The sequence below is a fragment of the Homo sapiens genome, chromosome 2 (assembly GCF_000001405.40).
Source record: "Homo sapiens chromosome 2, GRCh38.p14 Primary Assembly".
Taxonomy (NCBI): Eukaryota; Metazoa; Chordata; class Mammalia; order Primates; family Hominidae; genus Homo; species Homo sapiens.
Window position 1 is genome coordinate 73830412 of NC_000002.12, and position 26807 is coordinate 73857218.

At 42.0% G+C, this 26807-nt stretch overlaps 1 protein-coding gene and 1 long non-coding RNA gene across 33 annotated transcripts in view, besides 2 other annotated features; one reads left to right on the top strand and one right to left on the bottom strand.

Moving 5' to 3' along the window:
- The window catches only part of STAMBP (STAM binding protein), a 44696-nt gene that overhangs the window by 1451 nt on the left and 16438 nt on the right, over window positions 1–26807 (top strand). For 18 of the 28 annotated variants that reach the window (NR_148671.2, NR_148670.2, NR_148668.2 and 15 more), the window contains 6 exons: window positions 434–648; window positions 14402–14477; window positions 14756–14851; window positions 16976–17342; window positions 18952–19076; window positions 19965–20102. Coding sequence is in view for 24 of the 28 variants with exons in the window: in XM_047442964.1 (XP_047298920.1) it covers window positions 446–648; window positions 14402–14477; window positions 14756–14851; window positions 16976–17342; window positions 18952–19076; window positions 19965–20102 (1005 nt within the window). In the remaining 4 variants the exon portion in view is untranslated. Of the gene's footprint in view, window positions 1–433; window positions 649–14401; window positions 14626–14755; window positions 14852–16975; window positions 17343–18951; window positions 19077–19964; window positions 20103–22623; window positions 25699–26807 lie in introns of those variants that run through there. The other 10 variants (NM_001353976.2, NM_001353974.2, NM_001353975.2 and 7 more) reach the window with 3 other exon arrangements.
- Window positions 47–1246: an enhancer, noted in NCBI's record as "CDK7 strongly-dependent group 2 enhancer chr2:74057585-74058784 (GRCh37/hg19 assembly coordinates)". NCBI's record gives its function as "activates an origin of replication core promoter dependent on BRD2, BRD4, P300/CBP, MED14 and CDK7 cofactors, with strong dependence on CDK7, by STARR-seq in HCT116 cells {active_cell/tissue: HCT116}" and the evidence as "EXISTENCE:reporter gene assay evidence [ECO:0000049][PMID:35650434]".
- Window positions 2762–2851: an enhancer, noted in NCBI's record as "active region_16035". NCBI's record gives its function as "activates an Ori minimal core promoter by ATAC-STARR-seq in GM12878 lymphoblastoid cells {active_cell/tissue: GM12878}" and the evidence as "EXISTENCE:reporter gene assay evidence [ECO:0000049][PMID:35858748]".
- LOC112268419 (uncharacterized) lies at window positions 3951–26566 on the bottom strand. Of its 5 annotated transcripts, none has more exons than XR_007087106.1 (3): window positions 26210–26566; window positions 8421–8491; window positions 3951–4238 (listed from the first exon to the last, which is right to left on the bottom strand). It is a non-coding gene; the product is annotated as an uncharacterized LOC112268419 (long non-coding RNA). The 5 variants fall into 5 exon arrangements; XR_007087095.1 differs by lacking the exon at window positions 26210–26566 and adding an exon at window positions 18832–18917 and having other exon boundaries at window positions 4156–4238; XR_002959405.2 differs by lacking the exons at window positions 3951–4238; window positions 8421–8491 and adding exons at window positions 14380–14576; window positions 18832–19234.

Consider the following 26807-nt stretch of genomic DNA (forward strand, 5'->3'; position numbering starts at 1 on the left):
AGAAAGTTCACTGAGTGCACTCTGCCAGGTACTGGGGTGGAGGTATGTGGGTATCTGGAAGGAGAAATAATAGAAAATAAAAGATGCTGTTCCCACTTTTACAGTGCTGTGGGCGGAGCCCCCTAATGGCAAAGGATTTGATTAACTTGAACTGAACCTTTGGTTGGTCCACTGTGGTTCTACTCCTTATACCACCTAATTATGGTACAGGGGTTGTATGTTTTCTAGTCTGCCAGTACTCTCATCGTTGTGATTTGGGCTTCCTTGAGGGTCTCAGCCTTCTTGTAGGAAAGTCCTTATTTAATAGGAGCCACAGCATTTGGTATGTTTCTCTTATATTTTCTTCTTAAGGTAGAGGTCTGTGAGATAAACTGTAAAACTGCTGGGATGATGAGGGCAACGGTATTGATGCCATCTGTTTTTTCTGTCTCAGAACTTGGTCCTGATGTCTGACCATGGAGATGTGAGCCTCCCGCCCGAAGACCGGGTGAGGGCTCTCTCCCAGCTGGGTAGTGCGGTAGAGGTGAATGAAGACATTCCACCCCGTCGGTACTTCCGCTCTGGAGTTGAGATTATCCGAATGGCATCCATTTACTCTGAGGAAGGCAACATTGAACATGCCTTCATCCTCTATAACAAGTATATCACGTAAGACACCTACAGTTTCCTTTTTCCTTTCTGGTGACTGGTGCCTCGCCTATTTGGCTCAGAATTGCTAAAACCACAGAACTTCACAATATCATCAACATTAATCATTTTTGCTGGCAACTCCTACATATTGGCTGTCCTTGCCGTTCAAAGACATGAGTGCTGAAGGTGTTATTTTCATGACTCAGTAATTTATGAGTAAGAGATTTAGTTCTTTGGCCTATGCCCACATAGCCCAGCTGTTAGACAAAAGAGTTGGTGGTTAAACTAGACATATTATGTTCTGATGAATGCTTTTACTGTTCTCTTTCTACTAAAGCAGCCAATCATAGGATTATTGTTGGGGTCTAGCAGAGCCAAAATTCCTCACTTGTACTTATTTTGTAGCAAATTTAGTGATACAGGAAAAAATTTTTTCCTCTTAACCTTTATCATAATCATGCAAATCATCAAATAATTAGTAACTGCCTACAGTTTGTGTGGCTCATCATAATAAGACCTTTCCCTTAAGTTATTTATCATCTTAGGGTAGGCAGCATAAGTAGAAGATTTCAGTACTATTAACAGCAAACAACTTCTAAAACTCCATTGACAATGATACATAATTTAGAAAGGAAATAATGTTAAAGGTCTTATTTATCATTTCTAATCTTGTTCTTTCACAATATCAGGACTTTTTAAAAAATAATTATAATGTATTTGGTTCTGAGTAGCTCATAGTGTGTTTCACCTGCATAATTTCATTTGATCTTCACAGTTCTGTGTGCATGGAATAGGGTACACTACCCTACATTCTACATATGAGGAAACAAACTCAGTGTTTGGTGGATGCTCATGTTTGAAGTGACAAAACCTTGGTTTTCTGACTCCTAATTCAGGATTTGTTCTACAACATAGGTCCTGTTCTTCTTGTTTTCCATTTAGTAATGTTCTAGAGTCAGAGGTAGTCTTTTGAGATCATAGTCATGAGCCACACTGGCTATTTTTTTGTTATTTATTTTACTACTGATTTTTGAGTAGGTAACATATATATATATATATATATATATACACATATATATGGTGCACAATTCAGAGGCACAAAAGAATAACTATAGTTAAAAAGTAAGTCTTGGCCAGGCGCAGTGGCTCTCGCCTGTAATCCCAGCACTTTGGGAGGCCAGGGCAGGCGGATCACCTGAGGTCAAGAGTTCAAGACCAGCTTGGCCAACATGGCAAAACCCCATCTCTACTAAAAATACAAAAATTAGTCGGGCATGGTGGCGTGTGCCTGTAATCCCAGCTACTTGGGAGGCTAAGGCAGGAGAATCGCTTGAAACCAGGAGGCAGAGGTTGTAGTGAGCCGAGATCGTGCCACTGCACTCCAGGACTCCAGACTAGGTGGCAAAGCGAGACTGTTTCAAAAAAAAAAAAAAAAGTCTCCCCACCCACTCCTCTTTTCCCCCCAAACCCTCAGTGCTTCTCCCCAGAGACAACCACTCTTAGTAGTTTCTTAGATATCTTCCAAGAGATGATATACACATACCAGTTTTATCACATTAAGTTTTTGATCACATACTCCTCTAAAGCAGGGCTTTTCAACTTTGGCCCTATTGACCTTTTGGACTGAATCATTATTTGTGGTGGGAGCTGTCCTGTGTGTCACAGAATGTTTAGCAGCATCCCTGGTTTCTGCTCACCAGATGCCAGTATCCCCCCTCCCCGCAGTGTGACAACCAAAAATGTCACCAGACATTATCTGATGTTCTCCCAGGGGCAGAATCACCTCTGAGAACCAGTGCTCCAAAGGAAAGTATGCGGAAGAATGGACTGTCTAGGATTCATATTGTAATTGTAGAGTGGAGAAATGGGACTGCTATTGTCTTTTTTATTTAGAAGTGTTGCCTGTGTTAAGAGGAGAAAACCTTAGACAAGTTAAATTTAACAGAGTTTAATCCAGTAGAAAAAGGTTCAGGGAACACTCAGGACCAAAAGTGGTGCAGAATGTTCCACCCCATAGTGGAGGTTGTGCAGGCTATATTTATAGTCAGAGAAAAGGAAATGAGATACAGAAATAGCCTGATTGGCTACAGTTATGTGTTTGCCTTATTTGGTCATGTTTTGGCAGGCTTTAGCCTCCAATTGGCTGGAGGTTTCAGCTGCTATGATTGGCTGAGACTCAGCTATTTGTTACACTTGTAACCTAACTCTTATGTTAAGTTACAGTTTGTTTATACATTAAATTAGGTTACAGTTCACTATCTTTGGAGGCAGCTTTAACTTAACACCTGTTTCCTTAAAGATCTGTAGTTCTTTAATGCCATTATGTCATGTCATGTGGCCTCAATGTTGTTAAGGTTTCATAAAATTATAATTATATTTCTGCTTCTGTTTGCTGTTATGAGTTTTTCATTCCTAGGCACACTATTTATTTTCCTGCACAGTTTTTTTGACCCTGTCTTCTTTATATATTCTTGGTAGAAAGAATATTCTTATGTATTTCCTATAAGCTTGTAGATTGTTCTCTCAGAATGAAACCCAGGGGCACAATTCCTTTGGAGAAACACTAATTCAGAAAGTTCAGTAGAATCATGGAATCACTGCACCAGGTATTTCCTGAAGGGCCTTCAGAATCCTATTGCCCCACAATAGAAAGGGCTTTCAGGGCAAAGACCATATTCATTCAACACATGTATATTGAGTATACCTGCTGTCTACATGGCACTGCACTAGGTCCTGAACAGCAGTGAGTAAAATGGCCCCTGTCCTTATTGGTGTTCCTTTATAGGTATGGGAGAAGACAATAAACAGATAAGCAAATAAATACAGCTGACCCCTGAACAACACAGAGGTTAGCACCAATCCCCCATGCAATCAAAAATATACATATGGTCAGGCACAGTGGCTCACACCTGTAATCCCAGCACTTTGGGAGGCCGAAGTGGATGGATCACTTGAGGTCAGGAGTTCAAGACAAGCCTCGTCAACATGGTGAAACCCCGTCTCTACTAAAAATACAAAAATTAGCCTGGTGTGGTGGCGGGTGCCTGTAACCCCAGCCACTTGGGAGACTGAGGCAGGAGAATTGCTTGAACTCAGGAAGTGGAGGTTGCAGTGAGCCGAGATCACGCCACTGCACTCCAGCCTGGGGACAGAGCAAGATCATGTCTTAAAAAAAAAAAAAAAAAAAAAAAAAAAATATATATATATATATATATATATATATATATATATATATATATATATATAAAGTTTTTGACTCCCCAGAAACTTAACTACTAATAGCTTACTCTTGACTGGAAGCCTTATTGATAACATGGTCAGTTATCACATACTTTATATATTGTATGTATTATGTACTATATTCTTACAGAAAAGTAAGCTTGAGAATAGAGAATGTTATTAAGAAAATCATAAAGAATAGAAAATATAGATACTATTTGTTAAGTGGAAGTGGATCATTATGAAGGTCTTCATCCTCGTCATCTTCATGTTGAGTAGGCTGAGGAAGAGGAGGGGTTGGTCTTGCTGTCTCAGGGGCGGCAGTGGCAGAAGTAAATCCGTGTATAAATGGACCCACACCATTGAAACCCATGTTGTCCAAAAGTCAGCTGTAGTCGAAATAAGGAAAATACTTAAGAGTACTGTGATAGAGAATAAGCAGGGGTTTATGACTAGAGTAGTCAGGGTAAGGTCTGTCTGAGAAGACAAGATTTGAGCTGAGACTTGAGGGATGCAATACAGTTGGTCATTCCAAGAGCATAGGGCAGAGCATTAAAACACAGGTAACTATGTGTTTAGAAGTGCTTAGATGGGAAAGACCTTAGCATGTTCTGGGGATTGAAAGATCATTGTGTTTGGAGTATAGCCAGAGAAAAGCAAGATGACTCCAGGTAAGGCTGGAGAGGCAAGTGGGGCTGGATCATGCAGGACTTTATGGGCCATGGTAAGGAGTCTGTTTTTTATCTTGAGGGTAACAGCAAGCCATTGAAAAGTTTTAAGTGGGATTCAGACCTAAATTTACTTACTGTTTTTTAAAAGAGATGAGGTCTCGGCCGGGCACAGTGGCTCACGCCTGTGATCTCAGCACTTTGGGAGGCCACCCTGGAGTTCAAGGCCAGCCTGGCCAACATGGTGATACCCCATCTCTACTAAAAATACAAAACTTAGCCGGGCGTGGTGGCCCACGTCTACAATCCCAGCTACCCGAGAGGCTGAGGCAGGAGACTTGCATGAACCCGGGAGGCAGAGGTTTCAGTGAGCCAAGATCGCGGCACTGCACTCCAGCCTGGGTGATAGAGCGAGACTCGGTCTCAAAAAAAAAAAAAAAAAAGAGATGTCACTAATGTTGCCCAGGCTGGTCTCGAACTCCTGGATGCAAGCGATCCTCCCATCTCAGCCTCCCAAAGTGCTAGGATTACAGGTGTGAGCCTCCATGCCCAATCAATATTTAAAGTATAAATTTTGGCAGTTGTGTGGTAAATGGTGGAGCAAGCGTTAAGAGAAGGCAGGGAGAGTAGTTAGGAAATTCTTGCAGGCTGGTGGCTTGAAGTAGTGTGGCAACATGGAAAGAGACAGATGGATTTGGTATTTTGGAGGTCAGGTCCATAGGACTTACTAATCACTTAGGAAAAAAGATACTGCGGAGGTTGATGTCGTGTTTCTGCCTTGAACAACTTAAACGATAGGGTAGTCCATGTATTGAGATGGGAAAAGCCCTCTAAAGAGGGCTGGGTAGCGGGGGAATTTAACCGTTCACGTTTGGGGTTTTTTTGACATGTTAAAATTTGAGATGCCTGTGAGATATCCAAGTAGAGATGTCAAGTGGGAGGTTGAATGTACCAGTCTGAACTCAGAAGACTGAGGTCTGGGCTGGAAATACAGACAAGGGAGTCCTCAGCATACAGATGGTTCTGAAGTCATGAGAATGGCTGAGATTTTCTTTTTCTTTTTTTTTTTCTGCTGTAGAAATTAATTTTATTCTTATTCAGACTATTTTCAAAAGAAGCAGTGGTGCGCTGTTTTTCTAAAAATACGCCTTTAGAGATTTTTATATATGTATATAATAAAATCCATACATGTATTTACATGATTGCTACATACAAAATTACAGCACTGTGGTATGTACACATCTACAGGTACATTCTTTCCACACATCCCTGCTGTGCTTTCCCCGTGTGAAGGAGGGAGACTGAATCAGTTGTGAGCAGCCAAGGGCTGGCCCGTCGTCGGAACCTCCGAATGGGGGCTGGGGTGGAGGAGGTGAGGCGATTGCCGAGGCAGGAGCAGCAGCTGTTGCAGGGCTCTCCTGCAGGCCAGCAGGCAGCATCTGGAGGCTCCCGGCAGCCTCCCCCTCCCCTCCACCCCGTGGTGCCCGCGCTGCCCTCAAGGTGGGGTGGCTGACCACAGACCCCTCTGGTGCCATTCTGTGGCCTAGACTTGCTTGGCTGGGCCAAGAAGTTGTGTATGTGAGGGGTGGAGGAGGGAGCTGTGGGAGGAATAGACCCTGTCCAGCCCCAGCCCTGAGCAGGGGAAAGGGCTGGATGGCTAAAGCCTGCAGATGACTGGTGAGAACACTCCGCTTGGCCCGGCACTGCTAAGGGTCAGAGACTAGAGGCTGGGAGGGAGAGCAGTGGCCGCCGGCTGGGGAACAGGGCCTTCTTCCTCCCTGGGGCTCAGAGGGTGGCCTCAGCTGAGCTTGAGTAAGCCCAGCTCTTAGGCCCTGCGGCCAGAGGCTTGGCCTCCTGCCAGCAGAGGTGCATGCACACTGGGGAGGGGCTGCCATCTCCACTTCAACCCCTGGGCCAGGGGCTGGGGAAGAAATGGAGGCTTAGGCCTGGCCTGCTGCCCTGTAGGACTAGGTCCCCGGGGCTCAGGATTCCTGAGGCATGCAGAGAAGGGCCTGAGAATGCCTGAGATTTTCTAGTGAAGGGGCTCTTAATCTGGGGTCCAGGAACCTCACAGAGATTCATTGATAGAATTCAGGGGATCTGTGAACCGGAATAGGAAAAACTTTTCTTGTTTTTTCTAACCAGTGACTGAAATTTAGCATTTCCTTCCATTTTGAATGTAGGCCTCAAAGTACAGTAGTAGTAATATTTGTAATTTTGTCACCAGTAGAAATCAAGATATTTTCATATTGCATTACAGTTGTTGCTGACATCTCAAAATAGCATCTAAACATCACTACTTCAGAATTACAGTACAGAATTATTAGACCTACAGCTAGATCCCATTATCAAATGCATTGATAAAGAACACATTAGGCCGGGCACAGTGGCTCACGCCTGTAATCCCAGCACTTTGGGAGGCCAAGGCTGGCGGATCACGAGGTCAGGAGATCGAGACCATCCTGGCTAACATGGTGAAACCCCATCTCTACTAAAAATACAAAAAATAAGCCTGGCATGGTGGCAGGTGCCTGTAGTCCCAGCTACTCAGAAGGCTGAGGCAGGAGAATGGCGTGAACCCGGGAGGCGGAGCTTGCAGTGAGCCGAGATCGCGCCACTGCACTCCAGCCTGGGCAACAGAGCGAGACTCCATCTCAAAAAAAAAAAAAAAAAAAAAAAAAAAAGAACACATTAATACAGAAGAATATATCACAATTTTTAAAATTTTTGAAAACTGTTTTTCCATAAAATTGGGGTATTCTTGGTAATCCTTTGTACTTTAAGTTATACCTTAAAAAAATTGTTCTGAAAAGGGTCCATAGGCTTCACCAGATGCCAGAAGGATCCATGGAACATAAAAGATCAAGTATCTTTGTTAATAAGGCTAGGGAATGAGAAGAGAAGGAGCCTAGGACTGAGCCCTGAGGTTAGTTAATGGAGGGAGAGTCAATAGGGGAGACTTTCTTTGAAGGGAGGTTCAAGAGGCAGGAGGAAATCCAAGAGAGAATGGTGTTGTGTCATGGGAGCCAAAATAAATTAGTGTTTGAAAAAGGAGAGTAGCCACCTATGTCAGATGGGTGAAGACAGAAGATTGGCCTTTGGGTTTGGTAAGATGATGTCATGGGTGATCTTCATAAGCAATTTCGCTAGAAGGATTACAGAGACCCTAATTAGAACGGGTAGAAAGGTGAATGGACAGTAAGAAAGTGGAGGCAAAGGGTATAGACCTGAAAGTGGCAAATTTTTTTCTATAGGGGACCAGAGAGTAAAAATTTTTGGTTTTGTAGGCTACTTGCTGTGTCTGTGACTACCTCTGCTTTATAGTGTGAAAGTAGCCATAGACAACACATAAATGAATGGATGTGACTGGTTCCAATGACACTTTATTTACAAGAACAGATGGCTAGCTGGATTTGGCACACCAGCTGTAGTTTGCCAACCCCGGTATAGACAACTCTTTGGAGAAGTTTAGATGGGAAGGGAAGTAGAAAAATGGGGAAGTAGTTGATGGGGGACAAGGAGCGTGTGAACATGTGTATGTATTTTAAGTTAGGAGATTTTAGAGCATGTTTTTGCTGATGGAAAAGGATCTTATGGAGGAGGAGAGGCTAACAGTCCAGAAGAGAGCTTAGCTGTACTAATAAACTCCTCAGAAGTCAAGAGGGGATAGGATTAAGAGTACATGGATGCCTAAGGAATTGTTTTTTATGACACTTAGTGTTATTTTGAGTGACATATTAGTGTTAACAGCAAGACTGATATGGGGAGTTTGTCCCTGTCACTTATAGGACCACTTAAAATGATGAACTACTAGGAGAGTTGGTGCGGATGAGATTTAGCAGCTCATTTACTTGATTTGTGGGATTTAGAGTTTAATTTGGAATTTTGTTGTATTGGCCTTACCTGAAGTAATTAATGTAGCTACCTTCACTTTTCTTGGAGATACCTTTAAAATCTTGATTCTGATTCTGATTCTGTGAACAGAAAATCACAGCAATTGCAAACAAATTCTAGCTCACTGATTCTCAGTCTGTTTTCTGTTGTATTTTACTTAGTACATTCCTATCAATAACAGTGGCTCAGCTTTGGCAGTTACTACAACCGAGGAGAAAAGAGAGGGGAGTATACATCTGCCTCACCACTCCTCTGCCTCCCCTACTACTGAGAATCATTGTTCTAGACCTTTTGTGGATACTTTCTTTACTTCAGGGTTTTAAAAGGCATGTTTGTTCCTTTTCCTGGAGCAGTTCAGGCATCTTAATGATCTCAGGCATATTTCCCCCCTCAGTAGCTTCCCTAATGTAGGAATGCTTTGCCTTTTGCAGACCCCAGTATAGAAGAAAGAGTTCAGCATATTAAATCAGTACATATTTTCATGATGAGCGCAGACAATAAACCAGGCAGTGGATTCTTTCACAGCTTTTTATGGTCATCAACTAGGCTGCCCAGAAGGGAGTGAGAGTATTCAGGCAATTCCTGTGTGCTATGTGAGCCTCCTGGAACACCAACCCTTTTTCTGAAAATGAACTGTCACCTGTGTTGAAAATGTTTGCTGGGATTGGGGTTTATAGACTGAAGAAGGTTCCATCTGTGATCATGCTTACCATGCTGAGTAACTTTTAAGACTGGAAGAATCGAGATGAGGATCCTTAATGCATCCATGTTAAAGAACCTTTGCTTGACTTTTTGAATTAGTTGTTTTCATACAAAATTAACACTTATTCACGATTTAAAAAATTTTTCAAACACTACAAGGGAGATATTAAAGTGAAAAGAGAAGTCTCATCTATCAGAGGTGGCCACTATTGTATTTCTGGCATGGATGAGGTGTGATTAAGCTCATAGGTGCCCCCATGTGTCCTTTTCCTTAAAGCATCAATGGGATCTTACCACGTATTCTGTTCTGCGACTTGCTTTCTTCACAGTAGTGTCTTTCCATATCAGGACATACTGAGCCATCTCATTCTGCCTCAGAGCTATTCCATCTGCCTGGAACATGAATCTGGAACAGTCCCAGATTCATGGCTCACTCTTGTCTAGTCCTTACTCAAATGCCTCCTTCTTAATGATGACTTCCTTAGCTGCTGTATCTAAAATTTCAACCATTCCCCTATCCCTTTCTATCCCCCTTCCCTATTAATGACTTTCCTAGCATACTTCTGTTTATTGTCTGTTCCCCCATTGTAATGTATACTCTATGGTGGGGAGGAATATTTGACTGTGTTGTTCACTGCCATATCCCCAACCTTTAGAATAATTCTGGACCCTGTAGTAGATGCTCAGTAAATATTCACTGAATGAATGGGTGAATGATTACATTGTCTTCACATTTGAATGCACATTATTTTTTAAACAATCCCCTATTGATGGACATTTAGGGGTTTGTTTTTTTTTTTTTTTTCAGTTTTTTCTACTTTTTAAAACAATGCTGTATTGAATATTTTTATACATATATCTTTGTACTGTTTTATAATGATCTCTAGGATAAATTCCTAGAGATAGAATTGTGAGTTTAAAGGATATACACATTTTAAGTTGGATGCGGTGGCTCACGCCTGTAATCCCAGCATTTCGGGAGGCTGACGCGGGCAGATCACCTGAGGTCAGGAGTTGGAGACCAGCCTGGTCAACATGGCGAAACCCCATCTCTACTAAAAATACGCAAATTAGCTGGGCGTGGTAGCAGGTGCCTCTAATCGCAGCTACTCGGGAGGCTGAGGCAGGAGAATCACTTGAACCTGGGAGGTAGAGGTTGCAGTGAGCCGAGACTGCCCCACTGCACTCCAACCAGGGCGGCAGAGCAAGACTCTGTCTCAAAAAAAAAAAAATAAATAAATCAAAAAAAAAATAAATAGTACAAATTAAAAATAAAGGATATACACGTTTTAAATTTTGAATAATTAGCTTCCATTTTCCCTCCCTTAAGATGAAAGGTTATATTAATTTACAATCTTGCTAACACTGTATGGGTATCCCATTTCTCTATACCAGGTATGATCAACCTTTAAGTCCCATTTCTCTACCAGGTATAATTAACCTTTACGCCTTTGCCAATCCGATGGATGAAAATGGTATCTCATCCTAATTTGAATTTCTTTAATTATGAGTGGATTCAGCATTATTGCATATATTCATCTTTTGTATTTACTTTTCTGCTTATGTCTTCTTTTTTCATTGTTTATTGGGTCATTTTGCTTGTGTTTTTGCAATCATATCTTTGTTTGCTTTGGTACCTTTCCTCTCTCCAGGCTTCAACCAGATATAACCCCAGAGAACAGTATACATCTGGGCCACCGCTTTCTATCCTTAGAAAGTTTCTAGGGATAGAACTTTGAACCATGTAATGGAGTCTAGTTTATAAGTAAAGAAAAAACTCCCAAACCTGTATATGATGCTGGTGTTAGCATCTTCATCTCTTATTCTTGCTCACATTTTTTGTTTATTAGTTAAAAAAAATCATAGAAACCCATAGCAAATATTGACTATGTTCTAGATACCGTGTTTAGCATTTTATTATCTCTTTAAGTGTCACAGCAAGCCTGTCAGGGAGTACTAGTTTGTCTCCATCTCTACAATTTTATGGACAGGATATCAGCCATGTCCAACCCTTTGAATGCAAGGACTTTTTTGCTTATCTATGGTAGCAGATATCACCTTTTTAAAAGTTCATTAGCTAGTTAGTGTTAGTGTATTTTATGTATGGCCCAAGACAGTTCTTCTTCCAGTGTGGCCCAGGGAAGCTAAAAGGTTGGACACCCCTGCAAAAAACTGAGGGATGGTGAGATTAAGTGACTTGCCCAAGGTCACATAGCTAGTAAATGGCAAAACCAGGATTTGAGCCCAGGCACAGTGGCTCCAGAGCCAGCCCTACTAACCACTAAGTTCTTTTACCTCCAGTATGAGTAATGGGGTATGTTGCCCATTGTCTGTTTCAGGAGACCTTTTTGCCCATCTATCCCCATTCAGAAAACTGGCTACAGTTGTTGAAGCAAGGGAAAGCTATTCATGTACAGGTCTGGGAGGTTTTTTTTGTTTGTTTTTTGTTTTTGTTTTTTTACTTATAAACTAGATTTCCATTACATGGCTCAAAGTCAAAGTAATATAAAGAGGTACTTGGTGAAAAGTTTCACACCTACTCTTATCTGTTCTATTACCCCTGCCCTCATTTCTGTGTATACTTCCTGTTTCTTTGTATACTTACAAAGCAAAGTAAATAAATACGGCAGGCTAAATACGGCAGGTTGTCAAATAATGTCGTTTTGTCCAATGTCGTTTTGTTTTAATGTTGATGAGAAAAGAAAAATCCATTCCTGCCTGGGGCCACTGTCTGTGTGGAGTCTGCACATTCTCCCCATGTCTGTGTGGGTTTTCTCCGGGTATTCAAGTTTCTTCCCACACCCCAAAGGTCTGCACATTAGGTGAACTGGCATGTCTGAATTGTCCCCAGTCTGAGTGAGTGCAAGTGTATGTGTGATGCCAATGGGATGGCATCCTCTCCAGGGCTGGTTCCCACCTTGGCCTTGAGCTGCTGGGATGGACTCTGGCCACCTGGGACTGAATAGGCAGGTAAATCATTTACTTACTTGTTTTTATAAGTCTTTCTTAAATGTATGTATAGCTCATATTTATTTCAGTGTTTAATATTAGAAGTGTTTTGGTCTGTATTTAGAAGTCTGGTGTTTTTGTGACCAGGATAGATCAAAGGAACTTAACTCTTGTTTATGTCAATTAGTGCATGGTAAAGTTGGTTTTGTTATATGTCATTGTGCTTAAAGTCACAATTTCCAAGAACCTATCAACATTAAGGACTTACTGTGTATATGTACATACTTGTACATATATGTAATGTTTACTCATCAAATATTTATTGAGTGCCTCTTTATACAAGGCACTGTGCTGGCTTCCAAGGAGTATACAAAGAAGCATGAAACACAGAAATCTCTGGCCTCAGGAAGCTCGCAGTGTAGTTCTATAATAAGAGCATAAGTAAAAATAAAACATAGTGTTTATATGACATAGTACTTTCTTAGCTGATTCAGGCCTCAATACAAAGCACATTCAGCCTGCTAAAGGTAGTAAATATTAATATGTATCTTGGCTTTTGGGGCTAAGATGAGAGTTCTACTGAATCATCTATCAGTCTCTAAAATATAAGAAATATGTCTTATTTATCTTAATAGATTCTTCAGGACTTTATGGTTTGAACAAATGAATCTGTATTTCTTTTAAATATAGACTTCAAGGAAACTGTTTTATATCTTTCTTTTTTTTTTTTTTTTTCCAAATAGAGATAGGATCTCCCTCTGTCACCCAGGCTGGAGTGCAGTGGTGTGATCAAAGCTCACTGTAACCTCAGACTTCTGGGATCGAGAGATCCTCCTGCCTCAGCCTCCCAAGCAGCTGGGACTACAGATGCATACCACCACACCCAGCTAATTTTTGTGTTTTTTTATGTTTTGTTATATATGTTTGTGTATGTATATATATATATGTATATATATATATAAATTAAAAAATATAAATAGAGACAAGGTCTCACCCTGTTACCCAGGCTGGTCTTGAACTCCTGGGCTCAAGCAGTCTTCCTGCCTCGGTCTCCCAAAGTGCTGGGATTACAGGCATGAGCCACCGCACCCAGCCTCTTTTATATCTTCTTCATGAACCCAAAAGGAAGCTTTTTAAAGAACCATTTTTATTTTAGAGTCCATCCCTGCCTTGAGGAGCCTTATCAAGTTGGATCAAAATGAAACTTGTGTGCCTAATATAGAACTGAAGGATGAGGACTTATCTTTAGAAAGTTTGTTTTGGTGGGGATCATCTTTTTTCTTTATTGAGGATTCTTCTTCCAATTACTTCTGCCCCATGGGCAGTAAGTAGAAAAGAGTTTATCCCAATTACAATATAATATTTTAGAGCTATCAGCAAGCTACCTTCAATTTATTTTTTTATCTCAGTTTCTGTGTATTACAACTTAATTCTGTTAAAAGACATCTTTGTTCAGAATCCCTCCAGTAGTTCTAGACATTCCAGAATCCGTATGGAAGAAGTATGGTGTAGTGGTTAAAAGAATAGGCTCTGGAGCCAGCCTGCTCATACTGAAATTCTGAATCTGCCACTTTCTTTCTGTGACAGGTTACTGGACTTTTATTTATTTTCACTGCCCCTAAGTAGATGTCTTAAATGTTAGAGATTTGTGAATTAATTAAGTTTATTCTCCCCACTGAGCTTTAGAGCCATGGACAAGAACCAAAAGATGAAATCTAGCATCTTATATTTACCTAAGCACTTTTCATCAAAGACAGTGCATGCTAACATGTAATATGCACATACTACATGCATAGAACACATGCACTAAGTATTTCCATGCATTTTTGTATGATGCAAAGTAGTATTCTTCTTTGAAGGAACACGAATCCCAAAGGAAAAAAGCCAAAGTTAAAGGTTACATAAGAGCTAGAAGGAGTAAGGAAACATGGTTTTCTCTTGCTTCCTGCCCATGGCTGCCAAACGGTTCTCTGAAGACTGCTATGTGACAGAAGCCCTTTCCTTTGAAAACCTGTCACGTCACAACAAGAAAAAGATCTCTTTCTTTGGAGGTACATTTTTGGGCACAAGAAAGGCTTTTTAAAATTTTTTTGGCCATCTTTTTCATTGTAGGAGTCTGGTGCTTGCTGCCTAGTTTGGGAGTAGAGGAAAAGACTCTGGCTCTTTAGGGGGATAGAGATGGGAAAGGAGCATGGCCCAGCTGGGTGTATTAGCTCTCCCTCCGCTGCACTTCTGGAACCTTTCATATAAGGGCTTCAGGATAAGGGGGTTGCATAGCTTTAGGGTCTTATGGACATTTGGACCATTTGCTTCATAATCATTTTGAACTGTTTCCTTAGGCTCTTTATTGAGAAACTACCAAAACATCGAGATTACAAATCTGCTGTCATTCCTGAAAAGAAAGACACAGTAAAGGTGGGTCTTCACTTTCATTGTTGCCCATCTAAAAGCTTCAGAGCAGCACAGACTGACTTCAAGATAAAAGTAGTAGTCTCTGCATCTGAGTACCAGATCCTGCAATAGGAGATAAGGCCATTTCACCACAACAGTTCTGAAGTAGCAGGTATGGTACAGTAGGGGGTATTTTAAATCATTTTGGGAAATGTTGCAGTCACCAACTTGACTTAAGTCTTCTTTTGGATTCTGTAATTTTCTGGCATTGTTCTAATTCTATTTTCTGTTTTGTGTCTCAGAAATTAAAGGAGATTGCATTTCCCAAAGCAGAAGAGCTGAAGGCAGAGCTGTTAAAACGATATACCAAAGAATATACAGAATATAATGAAGAAAAGGTCAGTATATAACAGCTAAGAAGAAAATTATTTTGCTTTTTTAGGCTGTGCCCTGGGATTGTAATATGACATTTCAATATATCCTGTGCTTTTAATGTGCTGTTTCACCTTTTTTGGGCAAAGACCAGAAACTCAAAAAAGTAGAACACCAGTGGTTAGGCTCAGGGTTGTAACACAGATATAGCCTATTTGTCGAAGAGAGTGACTTGAGGGACAGAAAATCTGTCGCCTACCTGCTATGTCTAGAGTGAGAATCATAAGAACAATGAACATTCTCTCCAAAACATAGGTTTTTAGATCAGAGAATTTGAGGGTTGGATTCACATTTGGTTATACCTGAAGCTATTTATAAGAATTGACTTTTCAAGCTATTTTTTTTTTTTTTTTTTGAGACAGTCTCACTCTGTCGCCTAGGCTGGAGTGCAGTGGCACGATCTCAGCTCACTGCAACCTCTGCCTCCCCGACTCAAGTGATTCTCCTACCTCAGCCTCCCGAGTGACTGGGACTACAGGCATCCGCCACCATACCCGGCTAATTTTTGTATTTTTAGTAGAGATGGGGTTTCACCATGTTGGCCAAGATGGTCTCAAACTCCTGACCTCAAGTGATCCGCCTGCCTCGGCCTTCCAAAGTGCTGGGATTACAGGCGTGAGCCGCTGCACCCAGCCATTTCAAGCTATTTTCAAATGATTCTTTTTAGGAAGTCAGTTAAAACATGTGGAGAAACTGCCAGGGCGCTGTCAGTGGCCAGCTGTGAATACATACTGCAGCCACTCACAGGCTGTTGTGTAGCTGTCTGCTGGTCTCTATTCTGGACTCTGATGTTGAAAATCAGCAGAGGGATGAACAGCTATGAGGTATATACTTCTAAAGCACCAAGTGAGTGTAAGCTTTAAGGAGGAGGTTATTACTTAGCATTTCTTTCTTTCTTTTTTTTTTTAATCCAAATGCCTCTCAAGTATTTCTTATTAGCTTAAAATGTCACTCTGTGTTGAACAAATGCACAAAAACCATAAAAATTTCAGAGGCCTCATTTTGGGTTAAAATTCAGTAGAAGGCAAGACGTGGTGGCTCATGCCTGTAATCCTAGCACTTTGGGAGCCTGAAGTGGGTGATCGCTTGAGCCCAGGAGTTCGAGACCAGCCTGGGCAACATGGTGAAACCCCATCTCTACAAAAAATACAAAAATTAGCTGGGTCTCTACAAAAAATACAAAAATTAGTGTGGTGGCACGCACCTCTGGTTTCAGCTACTCGGGAGGCTGAGATGGGAGGATCACCTGCGCCCAGGGAGATTGAGGCTGCAGTGAGCCATGATTGACCACTACAGTCCAGCCTAGGTGACAGAGTGAGACTCTCTAAGAAAAAAAAAAAAAATTCAGTAGAGACCCCCAAGATAGCAGGTATAAGTTTGGATCTGGTTCTATTTTATAGCCTTACTTGAAATATAGAATATGTACATGACACAGAGAGAAGAATAAAACTGTCTGTGATACAGGTTAGGAGAACACAGATAGTAAGTTGCATCAAGATTTCAGGCCAGACATTGTGGCTCACACCTGGAATCCCAGCGCTTCGGGAGGCCGAGGTGGGCAGATTGTTTGAGCCCAGGAGTTCAAGACTAGCCTGGGCAACATGGCGAAACCCTGTCTCTACAAAAAATACAAAAATTAGCCAGGTGTGGTGGTGCACACCTGTGGTCCCACCTACTCAGGAGGCTAAGGTGGGAGGATTGCTTGAGCCTGGGAGGTCAAGGCTGCAGTGAGCTGTGATCATGCCATTGCACTTCAGCCTGGGAAACAGAATGAGACCCTGTCTCAAAAAAAAAAAAAAAAAGATTTCAGTGAAGAGGAAAGTGCATTAGGTAGAGTCATTGTCGGGAGGGTATTGAGAGGATTGGGATTTTAATTGTCCTTGGAGATAGGTATACTGTGGCCAGATAGAAAGGGGTGGTGACTACACTCCGTGGGTATAAAGATACTGAGGAAAGCATGAATTCTGTGTTAGGTAATCAGGCCACAGCAGAAGTACATTTTGGAAATCTCCATGCTAAAAAGCCTTGTTCTCCTGAAGTGTGAAGTCACTGAGGTGTGAAGTGTTAGCCTAAATTTTCTCTCTTTGTAGAAGAAGGAAGCAGAGGAATTGGCCCGGAACATGGCCATCCAGCAAGAGCTGGAAAAGGAAAAACAGAGGGTAGCACAACAGAAGCAGCAGCAATTGGAACAGGAACAGTTCCATGCCTTCGAGGAGATGATCCGGAACCAGGAGCTAGAAAAAGAGCGACTGAAAATTGTACAGGAGTTTGGGAAGGTAGACCCTGGCCTAGGTGGCCCGCTAGTGCCTGACTTGGAGAAGCCCTCCTTAGATGTGTTCCCCACCTTAACAGTCTCATCCATACAGCCTTCAGACTGTCACACAACTGTAAGGCCAGCTAAGCCACCTGTGGTGGACAGGTCCTTGAAACCTGGAGCACTGAGCAACTCAGAAAGTAGTAAGTGCATTTGCTGATGTCCTCTTCCTTCTCAGTTGCAGCCAAACAGTATCATTCTGACGGGGTCAACCTAAGATTACCTCCCTGATCCCACTCATTAAGCTTTGGTCACAGAAACCCATCTGATAAGTATTGCTGTACTGTGTCCTAATACACTGGCTATGTTATAAAAGTGGCCTTTGCTGAAACCTAGTCTGGTCGATTTTCTGAAGAGCTAATATTATTCTTGAAAGTCAGACTGTCAACTTTTTAGTGAAAGGAAAAGAATGTGCCAAACCGAATTCATAATCCTCAGATAACATCATCAGACTGCTGTGTGACTCTGTGTCCCCTGCTCTGACTTTGTTACCTCTCTAGCAATTCAGATCTTGCTGTTGAATACGCAAAAGCAGAACATCTTTCCCCTCCCACTTTTTTTTTTTAAATATGAAAATATAGCTGTGAGAGACACTTCCTAACTTTAGCTTGCTGGCTGTCTCACAGAGTTTCTCCATGGTGTTCAGAAACTGGGTCCATTCTTGGCATTTTTTATGAGCTGCTTTGTTCATGCCTTTTTTGGGGGACTACACTGTATTTTTTATTTTGTTGTGGTTTGGCATTTAACTTCTTCCAGAAGAGTAAGTTCAGAAGTAAATAACTGCCCAGATTGTTTTCCATTCTCAAGAATATACACCAGTGTATTTCTTTTAAAGTCATACTCTGATATTCTTATCTGAGATAAAAGAGATTTAAAATTAAAAGTTCAGATGAATGGGCAGTGTCTTAGTCCATTTTGTGCTGCTATAACAGAATACCTGAGGCTGGATAATTTATAATGAACATAAATTTATTTGGTTCATAGTTCTGGAGAGTGGAAAGTCCAAGACCCAGGGGCCTGGCAAAGGCCTTCTTGCTGCGTCATCCCACGACAGAAGGGTGGAAGGGCAAACAAAGATCCCTCATAGCCTCATCACCTCTTAAAGATCCTACCTCTCAATAATTTTGCATTAGGAATTAAGTTTCCAAAACATGAACTTTGGGAGACACAGTCAAACCACAGCAGGGAGGTTATTTTTTTAATTCTTTGTATTAGATTCTGACAGAAAATTCCCAAATGTTTCAAGAACTTGTGTCTTTTTCCCCCCTAAATTTTATTTTTTACTTTTATTTTTTAAGTTTTTGTGGGTACATAGTAGGTGTATGTATTTATGGGGTACATGAGATGTTTTGATACAGGCATGCAATATGAAATAAGCACATCATGGAGAATAGGGTATCCATCCCCTCAAGTATTTATCCTTTGAGTTACAAACAATCCAATTACATTCTTAAGGTTATTTTTAAGAAAACTTTTCTTAAGGTAGTAGTTTGCCCTTTTCTTAACTTGAATAATTAAAGCCTACTATTTTCTCTTCTTGAAGTAATGTGCTCCTTACAGCTGTGGCCCAAGATTGGAGAAGACACTTTACAGCCCTTTTTTTGGTGCCATTAGAATGAGATCCCTACTCACTGCCTGAAGTTGGGGGAATCCCAGTGGCTTAATGTTGCTCCTCCAGGGCTGCTGGCTGTGAGGTCTGCTTGAGGAGGCAGGGCTCAGTGGTCGCAGACTATTCTCCTTTCTCCTTTACAGTTCCCACAATCGATGGATTGCGCCATGTGGTGGTGCCTGGGCGGCTGTGCCCACAGTTTCTCCAGTTAGCCAGTGCCAACACTGCCCGGGGAGTGGAGACATGTGGAATTCTCTGTGGAAAACTGGTAAAAAGAAAAAAAAAACCAAACTCTTCTCTGAACCGAAACTGTTTCTTCCCCTCTTGGCATCCTGTGACTCTCAGAGAAAATATCCAGGGTCAGTTACTCTTTGTACCAAGGAACCGTGGACTGCATAATTTCATGTCACTTTGAATTTGGTGACCCTGTATTGATTGATTGAATTGAAGTGGTTATTTTAATGCTAGTAGTAAGAAATACCTAATTTTAAACTTGGTAGGAAGATCCAGTCATTATCTACATATCAATTTTTTTGGTACCTACTTTATGGTAGGACCTGGGAATATAAAATATGTAAAGCACATAGTATGTGTCCACGAAAAGTGCCCAGTCACTTTGGAGAGAAGGCAGACATGCACTAAAGTCTAACCAGCATGCTGAAAAATATGTACAGTATAAGTATTGGGAATTTTGAGGAAGGAAAGGTCACTGAATGGAGGCACTTAAAGAACCCATTACTGCTGAATGAATAAATAAATGAAGTAGAGTAAATGTAAGCCGAGGCTTACAGGATGAGAAGGGCTTAAGGAAACAGTGACAGGACAACAACTTTAGACCTGAGCAAGGGAAGAGAAATGGTACTCTACCCAGAGCTTCTCAGCAGAGCAGTTTGGCACAGCAGGAAATTCCCTCAGGGCTGTGGTGTTTGCCCAGGCTGCAGAGTTCTGGGGTTGGTCTCTGCATCTGTCGCTGTACAGAGTACCCCAGGCAATGTGCATCAGCAGCCAAGGTTGTGAACCACTGAGTGGCAGGACTCCTGCTGTGTGGGAAGGGCTTTCACTTGTATAGATGCTTACCTTTCCACTGTCGGGATGGAGTGGAGCAGGGTTGCATGAGCACCAGGGAATTGTGACCAGCTGTTTTCTCCTTTGGCAGATGAGGAATGAATTTACCATTACCCATGTTCTCATCCCCAAGCAAAGTGCTGGGTCTGATTACTGCAACACAGAGAACGAAGAAGAACTTTTCCTCATACAGGATCAGCAGGGCCTCATCACACTGGGCTGGATTCATGTAAGCAATTCTGAGCTGTCCGAGAGTTAGTCTCTGCCTCTCCCATGGTGGTATAAATACATGAGTGTTTCTTTGAACAAAGTCAATTATATCCAGATTATTTATTGTTTTTCTCTCTTTTGGATGCAGTCCTTAGCATACTTGACTATTGCACTTTGGTATTGTTTTCTGGGAACACTTAGGGCTTTTAAATTTTTTTAACTTTTTATTTATTTTTTAGTAAAAATAAACTGTTTTCCCTAAAGTTCCAGTTTCCCTCTGAGTGTAACTGGTGATGGGATGCTGGCCTAGAATATAAGTGGACATTGACCTTAGAGACTATGCCTACTGTGTACAGATGATGTTCCTTAAAGGTATATAATTCAAAATATTTTAAATGAGCCAAGGAGGTTAATTCAGATGCTTGCATTTGGTCTTTCTTAAAGCACCTTTATATAAACAAGAAGGGCTATAAATACACATGATTTTCAAGTGTCTGCATATCTTGTGCAGCCTTCTGGTAATGTTCAGGTAAAATATAATGCCTTCCCTAAAGATTATTTTTAAATTTTTCTTTCTATTCCTTTTCAACCCCTCACTCTCATAGCCCAAGCTGCATTTTATGCTGTATGACAGAGTTACAAATAAATTGGCTTATTCTTGGATTACACATACTTGTATGCCAGAATTTGGGAAAGACTGACCTGTGAGGCAGTCCCATGTGCCTTCTGTCCTTTCTTCTATTCAATTACATTCATGTTGATGATTTGCCTATTATTGTGTATCCCCATCCCACCCCCATTGTAGTAGATGGGGGAGAGAAAACTTGTTCCTTATCTGCCAGGGCATACAAATTTGAGTAAGGTATGATTTTAGCCTCATGAAGGAGATTAAATAAATAGACAATTAATAACTTCACCTGGGGCAGAACGTGCTAAAGGCCACAAGAGGTGCCAGCGAGGCACTGTGGAATTCAGAGGAAGGAGGGACCATGCCTGATAGGGTTTAGTAGAATGTTGGCAAGCTGGGCCAAGGGCAAGTTCCTTAAGGAGCAGACAGGTGGAGAAGAGGCGGACTCTGTCCCTGGAGCACTGGGGGGACCAGTTCACTGAGATTTATGGTTCATATCAGGAAACAGTGGTAGATTTTTTTTTTTTTTTTTTTGAGACAGAGTTTCACTCTTTTCACCCAGACTGGAGTGCAATGGCAAGATCTTGGCTCACTGCAACCTCCACCTCCCGGATTCAAGCGATTCTCCTACCTCAGCCTCCCAAGTAGCTGGGACTACAAGCGCCCGCCACCATGCCCAGCTAATTTTTGTATTTTTGGTAGAGATGGGATTTCACCATGTTGGCCAGACTGGTCTCGAACTACTGATCTCAGGTGATCCACCCGCCTCAGCCTCCCAAAGTGCTGGGATTACAGGCATGAGCCACCACGCCCGGCTAGATATGTTTTAATGTAGTACATTGGAGCCGAGTTCTGGAGGGTCTGGGGTGGACAGGCAGAATTGTTCCACTTTTTAGTAAGTGGAAAATTCCTAAAGGTTTTTGAGTAGAGCAATGATATGATTAAAGCCATACTTTAGAAAATTTAACATAAATACAGTTTTAAGGTAGGTTGTGGCAAGGAGATGATTTAAGAGGTTAGTGTGCTGATAAAGCCTAATAATGATAAGAGCTAGGGTGATGCTAGTGTGTTTGGGAAGGAGGAGATGAATGTAGGATTTCAGAGGATTTGGGAAATGAGTAATAGAGGATGATGACTCAGAGTCAATGGTGACTCAGAGATTTGGGGCCTTGCAGTGATCATCTCATAAGCAAAAGTAGGGGATCCAGGAGAAGGATTTGGTTTGAAAGTGGGGTTCAGTTCTGAGCATGTTAAATTTCAGGTATTGATGAGATATTAAATCACTGGAGGTAGTTATCAGCCAGTTGGCAATGTAGGGCTAGAACTTGGGAGCAAAGTCAAAGCAGGAGAGAGGGCTCTGGGAATCCACTATTTAGTGCTGATCTTGGAAGCCCTGGAAGTAGGAGAAGAGTCTAGAGCAAGAAAAGGTTCACTGGCAACTTGGGGGACAGGCTACCTAATGTAACATAGAATGTAGTTAGCAATGGAGCAAAGAGATGTATGAAAAAGGTGAGGGTAGTGGTAAGGCACAGAAGCCATAGGAGGAGGAAGGCTCTTTTGTTTTGTTTTGTTTTTGAGACGGAGTCTCACACTGTCGCCCAGGTTGGGGTGCAGTGGCGCAATCTTGGCTCTGCAACCTCCGCCTCCCAGGTTCAAGTGATTCTCCTGCCTCAGTGTCCTGAGTAGCTGTGATTACAGGTACCCGCCACTATGCCTGGCTAATTGTGTGTGTGTGTGTGTGTGTGTGTGTGTGTGTGTGTATTTTTAGTAGACTGGGTTTCACTATGTTGGCCAGGTGTGTGTGTGTGTGTGTGTGTGTGTGTGTGTGTGTGTATTTTTAGTAGAGACTGGGTTTCACTATGTTGGCCAGGCTGGTCTCGAAATCCTGACCTTGTGATCCTCGTGATTATAGGCATGAGCCACCGCACCCGGCCAAGGAAGGCTTTAAGAAAAAATTTCCAGATGTTAACCATGTCACATCCTATGGAGAGCTCCAGAATGGTGAAGACTCGGATCGGCCTGGATTTGATGAAATTATTGAGGATCTCGATTTAGTGTGTTTTAGGCATTAATGGGAGTAGACTGTAAGAGTTTAAGAACTCATAGGGATTAAGTTTGTGGAGACAATGAAGTATACACTACCATTTTGAGCAACTTAGCTCTAGAGGAAAGGAGAAACATGGAATGGTGGTTTAAGGAGAAGTTGGGTTGAGAGAATGTTTGGTTGATTGTTCAAAGTGAAAGGCTTGAACATGTTTTGTTTTGATGAAATATAACACATGTAATAAGAAAGCACACAGAAACTAAATATATACTTTAGGCCGGGTGCGGTGGCTCAAGCCTGTAATCCCAGCAGTTTGGGAGACCAAGGCGGGCAGATCACGAGGTCAGGAGTGCGAGACCAGCCTGGCCAACATAGTGAAACCCTGTCTCTACTAAAAACACAAAAATTAGCTGGACATGGTGGCGCATGCCTGTAGTCCCAGCTACTCGAGAGGCTGAGGCAGGAGAATTGCTTGAACCCCAGAGGCGGAGGTTGTGGTGAGCCAAGATTACGCCACTGCACTCCAGCCTGGGCAACAGAGCGAGACTTGGTCTTGGGAAAAAAAGAAACTAAATGTACACTTTAACAAATCATTAAGCAAATATCTATGTACATACACTACCTAGGTCAGGAAACAGAACACTGTCAGGAGCATGCATGCCCTAAGGGAGGGAAGTCCTCCCTTCCTTGCTTCGTTTATAATTTCACCACTTCAATGTGTATCTCTAAACACTATAGTTTACTTTTGCCTGGCTTTTACCTTTTTGTAAATGGAGTTATACCATATGTATATTTGTGTCTTGCTTCTTTTGCTCAACATTTTGAAGGTTTATCCACATTCTTGTGTGTAGTTTTCTGAACATGTTCTTATGCCCAATGAGCCAACAATGGAGATGTAAAAGGGCAGGAGAGACAAGGTAATGTGGTGATAAGGAAGGATCGAATGAGAAGTACATAGAGGGATTCATCTTCACAGGGGGAAAAACATCCATTCCTCCAAGACAAGATTGAATGAACGGAAATGAAGATCCAGAGAGATTTTTGAAATGATGTCTGGAGGAGTTGAGGAAACACGTTTTAGACAATCTTGACCTCAATAAGGTTGGAGTCTAGGTCTGCTGTTGAGCAAGAGGGAGACCAAGGAGGAATTAGAAACTGGAGGAGATGGGGGAAAGTTTAGAATCATTACTGTACAGACTTCAGGTAGAACTTAGCTACAAATGAATAAAAGAGTTTTAAGTATCAGTGAGGGTCCAGTTGGGAACAGATTTGAAGCCTAAATTGATAGTAGTTCAGCTTTTTTATTTTTATTTTTTGAGATGAGGTCTCACTACATTGTTTATGTTGGAATACAGTGGCTATTCACAGGCACAATCATACTGCACTACAGCCTTGAGCTCCTGGGCCCAAGTGATCCTCCTGCCTCAGCCTCCTGAGTAGCTAAGACTACAAGCACACACCACTGTGCCCAGCTAGTTCAGCTTTTTTTCCTCCATATTTCTGCACCATTCCTTCCTAATTCGGGATTAAAAACAAACAGGCTGAGTATGGTGGCTCACACCTGTAATCCCAGAACTTTGGGAGGCCAAGGTGGGAGGATCACTTGAGGCCAGGAGTTCAAGACCAGCCTGGGCAACATAGCAAGACCTCATCTCTATAAATTAAAAAAAAAATTATGCATTTGTGGTGGCACACGCCTGTGGTCCCAGCTACTTGGGAGGCTGAGGCAGGAAGATCGCTTGAGACTGGGAGGTCAAAGCTGCAGTGAGCCGTGATCACACCACTGCACTCCAGCCTGGGCACCTGGGCAACAGAGCGAAAACCCTATCTCAAAAACAAACGAAAAGCAGACCGAAAGATTTATTCAGATCTTAAAATTGGCCAGAGGAAAATGCAAAAGATCAGTTCTTCCTTCTTAACCTTGTCAACTATGAATCAGCTGCCCAGGTCAAAAGTATGGTTATGGATTGATCACCAACTGTTGTCAAACCTCCAGCCCAGAACTCAAGGCACTCCTCATCATGTTTCAGCGCTATCTGAGCCATTTCCCTTTAGGGAAAATTTCCCTCTTAGGTACCCAGGCTGCCTTCAGCATTCACCCTCCTTGCTCATTTCTGCTCCTTCGGTATATTGTTTTCTCTTTGTCAAAGTGCCTTCCTCTATCCCCAGCAGCATGGGCACAGTGAACATAATGAACTATTCATTCAAGAAACTTGACTGTGAAAGGAAGGAGGGAGAGAAGGTACAGTAGTTAGAGAGGAGCAGGGGATCATGGCAAAGTTTTTTGATTCTGTTTAAGAGTTGTTTACTGAGTCCCTGCTTATGTCTCTTTATTATCTTTCTGGCTACCCACGTTTGCTCCCAGTTAGAATCCTGGACTCTAACCATGGGATGGAAGGTGGTGTTGGCACAGGCCACTGCTCTTTAGCAGCCTAAAGGATTATATTCTCATCAGGTAGAAACTTTGTGGTCACTGAAGTCCTTACATGCCCCATGAAGACTTGTGTGTGGATTTGCTGCCTGCACTGAGCTAACACGTTCCTGTCCTGAAGGCTTCTTCCACAGTGAGCTCATCACAGCACCCTGTGGAATGGTGCTTCTCAGATGAGGCTGCACATAAGAATCACTTAGTGAGCTTTCAAGAAAAATGTTCCTTCATGATGGTTCTTTCTAGGAGTGGGGTGCAGGAGTCTGGGCTTTTGTCAAGCTCCTCAGGAGATTTGTTTTTTTGGACAGCAGGTTTGAAAACGCTAGTCAATTGCATGTCTTTATTGTCTGTGCTTTTCTGTCAGTGAAGGTTGGTTGTCTTTTTGAATCATGCTAGATCTTTTTCCATTTTTGTTACCTAAGATCACACCTCCTCTAAGATGAACATAAGTCATTATATAGTTGTCTGTTTTGTATATAAAATATGTGCTTAATAAAACAAACAATGGAAACAAATAATCGGGATGCACATTTAGGTGATATTTTAACTGATTAACCTCAAATTTTAGCATCGTGTTCTCCTTCCAAACAGAATGGTCTCCTTTGTATGGTTTAACTATCAACTGAAATTCAAGTATTCCCCTACCTCCCATATCTTCCTTGGATGATGCTTTAGCTACAGGACAGCCTTTGCCTATAGAACCTGATTCATGTTTGACCTTTTAACACCTCTGTGGGAGAGAAGAATCATTCATCTAATTGTGGTTTACTAAGTCCTTGACTTCCACCATGTTGAAATATTGGGTATGTACCATCTGTTCCAGAATGGGTGACTCAGTGGTATGAAGAGACCTTGTAAGGAACCAAATAAGTCTTGATGGTCAGTTAGAAATTATGAGTCTCTTGAAAAACCAAAGCCTGAATCATCCAGAGAGAAACACTTCTTAGAGGAGATAGAAGAAATTCCCTAGCAAAAGTTCCAAGGGCCACTGAGTGCCATTCACAATTGTTGAGGACACCCACCTACCTTGTCCATGGATGCCCATCATGACAACCCCATTAACACCTTTGATTCCATGGATCCCTGGGTGAATCCAACATCATAGTCCTTGAGTTCTTCCAATTTGGTTCAAGAACAGGAGAGCTAGAGCAGGAAATATCAACAAACAACCCCCTCTTCTGTCTCCAACCCTGAGATGCAAATGTCTTTTCCTGTCTCCACTCCTACTGTCTGGTGATCTTTGTGCAGCAGGTATGTGCCTGAAGGAGGTCTCCAAGCCAGTTTCTGTGTGCTGTCATCTGAGATGGGGTTCCCCTTGCCAGTTCTCACACCCCACAAGACCCACCATACTGATCTCCTGGCTAGCACACACCAACCCCAGGGAAGCCTTTTCTTCACACTTGGAACCTAGATCTTGATTTCCTTTTGTGAGGTCAGAATTTGTTTAACTGGAATGTGGCACAGCATTGAATTCTTCTGCCTTGTCTATTCCAGCCTCAGAATTCTGTTTTTCTCCCACTTTGCAGTGGTCTTTGAGTTTTAACACTGTGGAACAGTATCTTTCCCCGATGATGCCCCAGATGGAAGGTTTGAGTTCTGTCCCTGGGTCCTCTCCATACCCTAC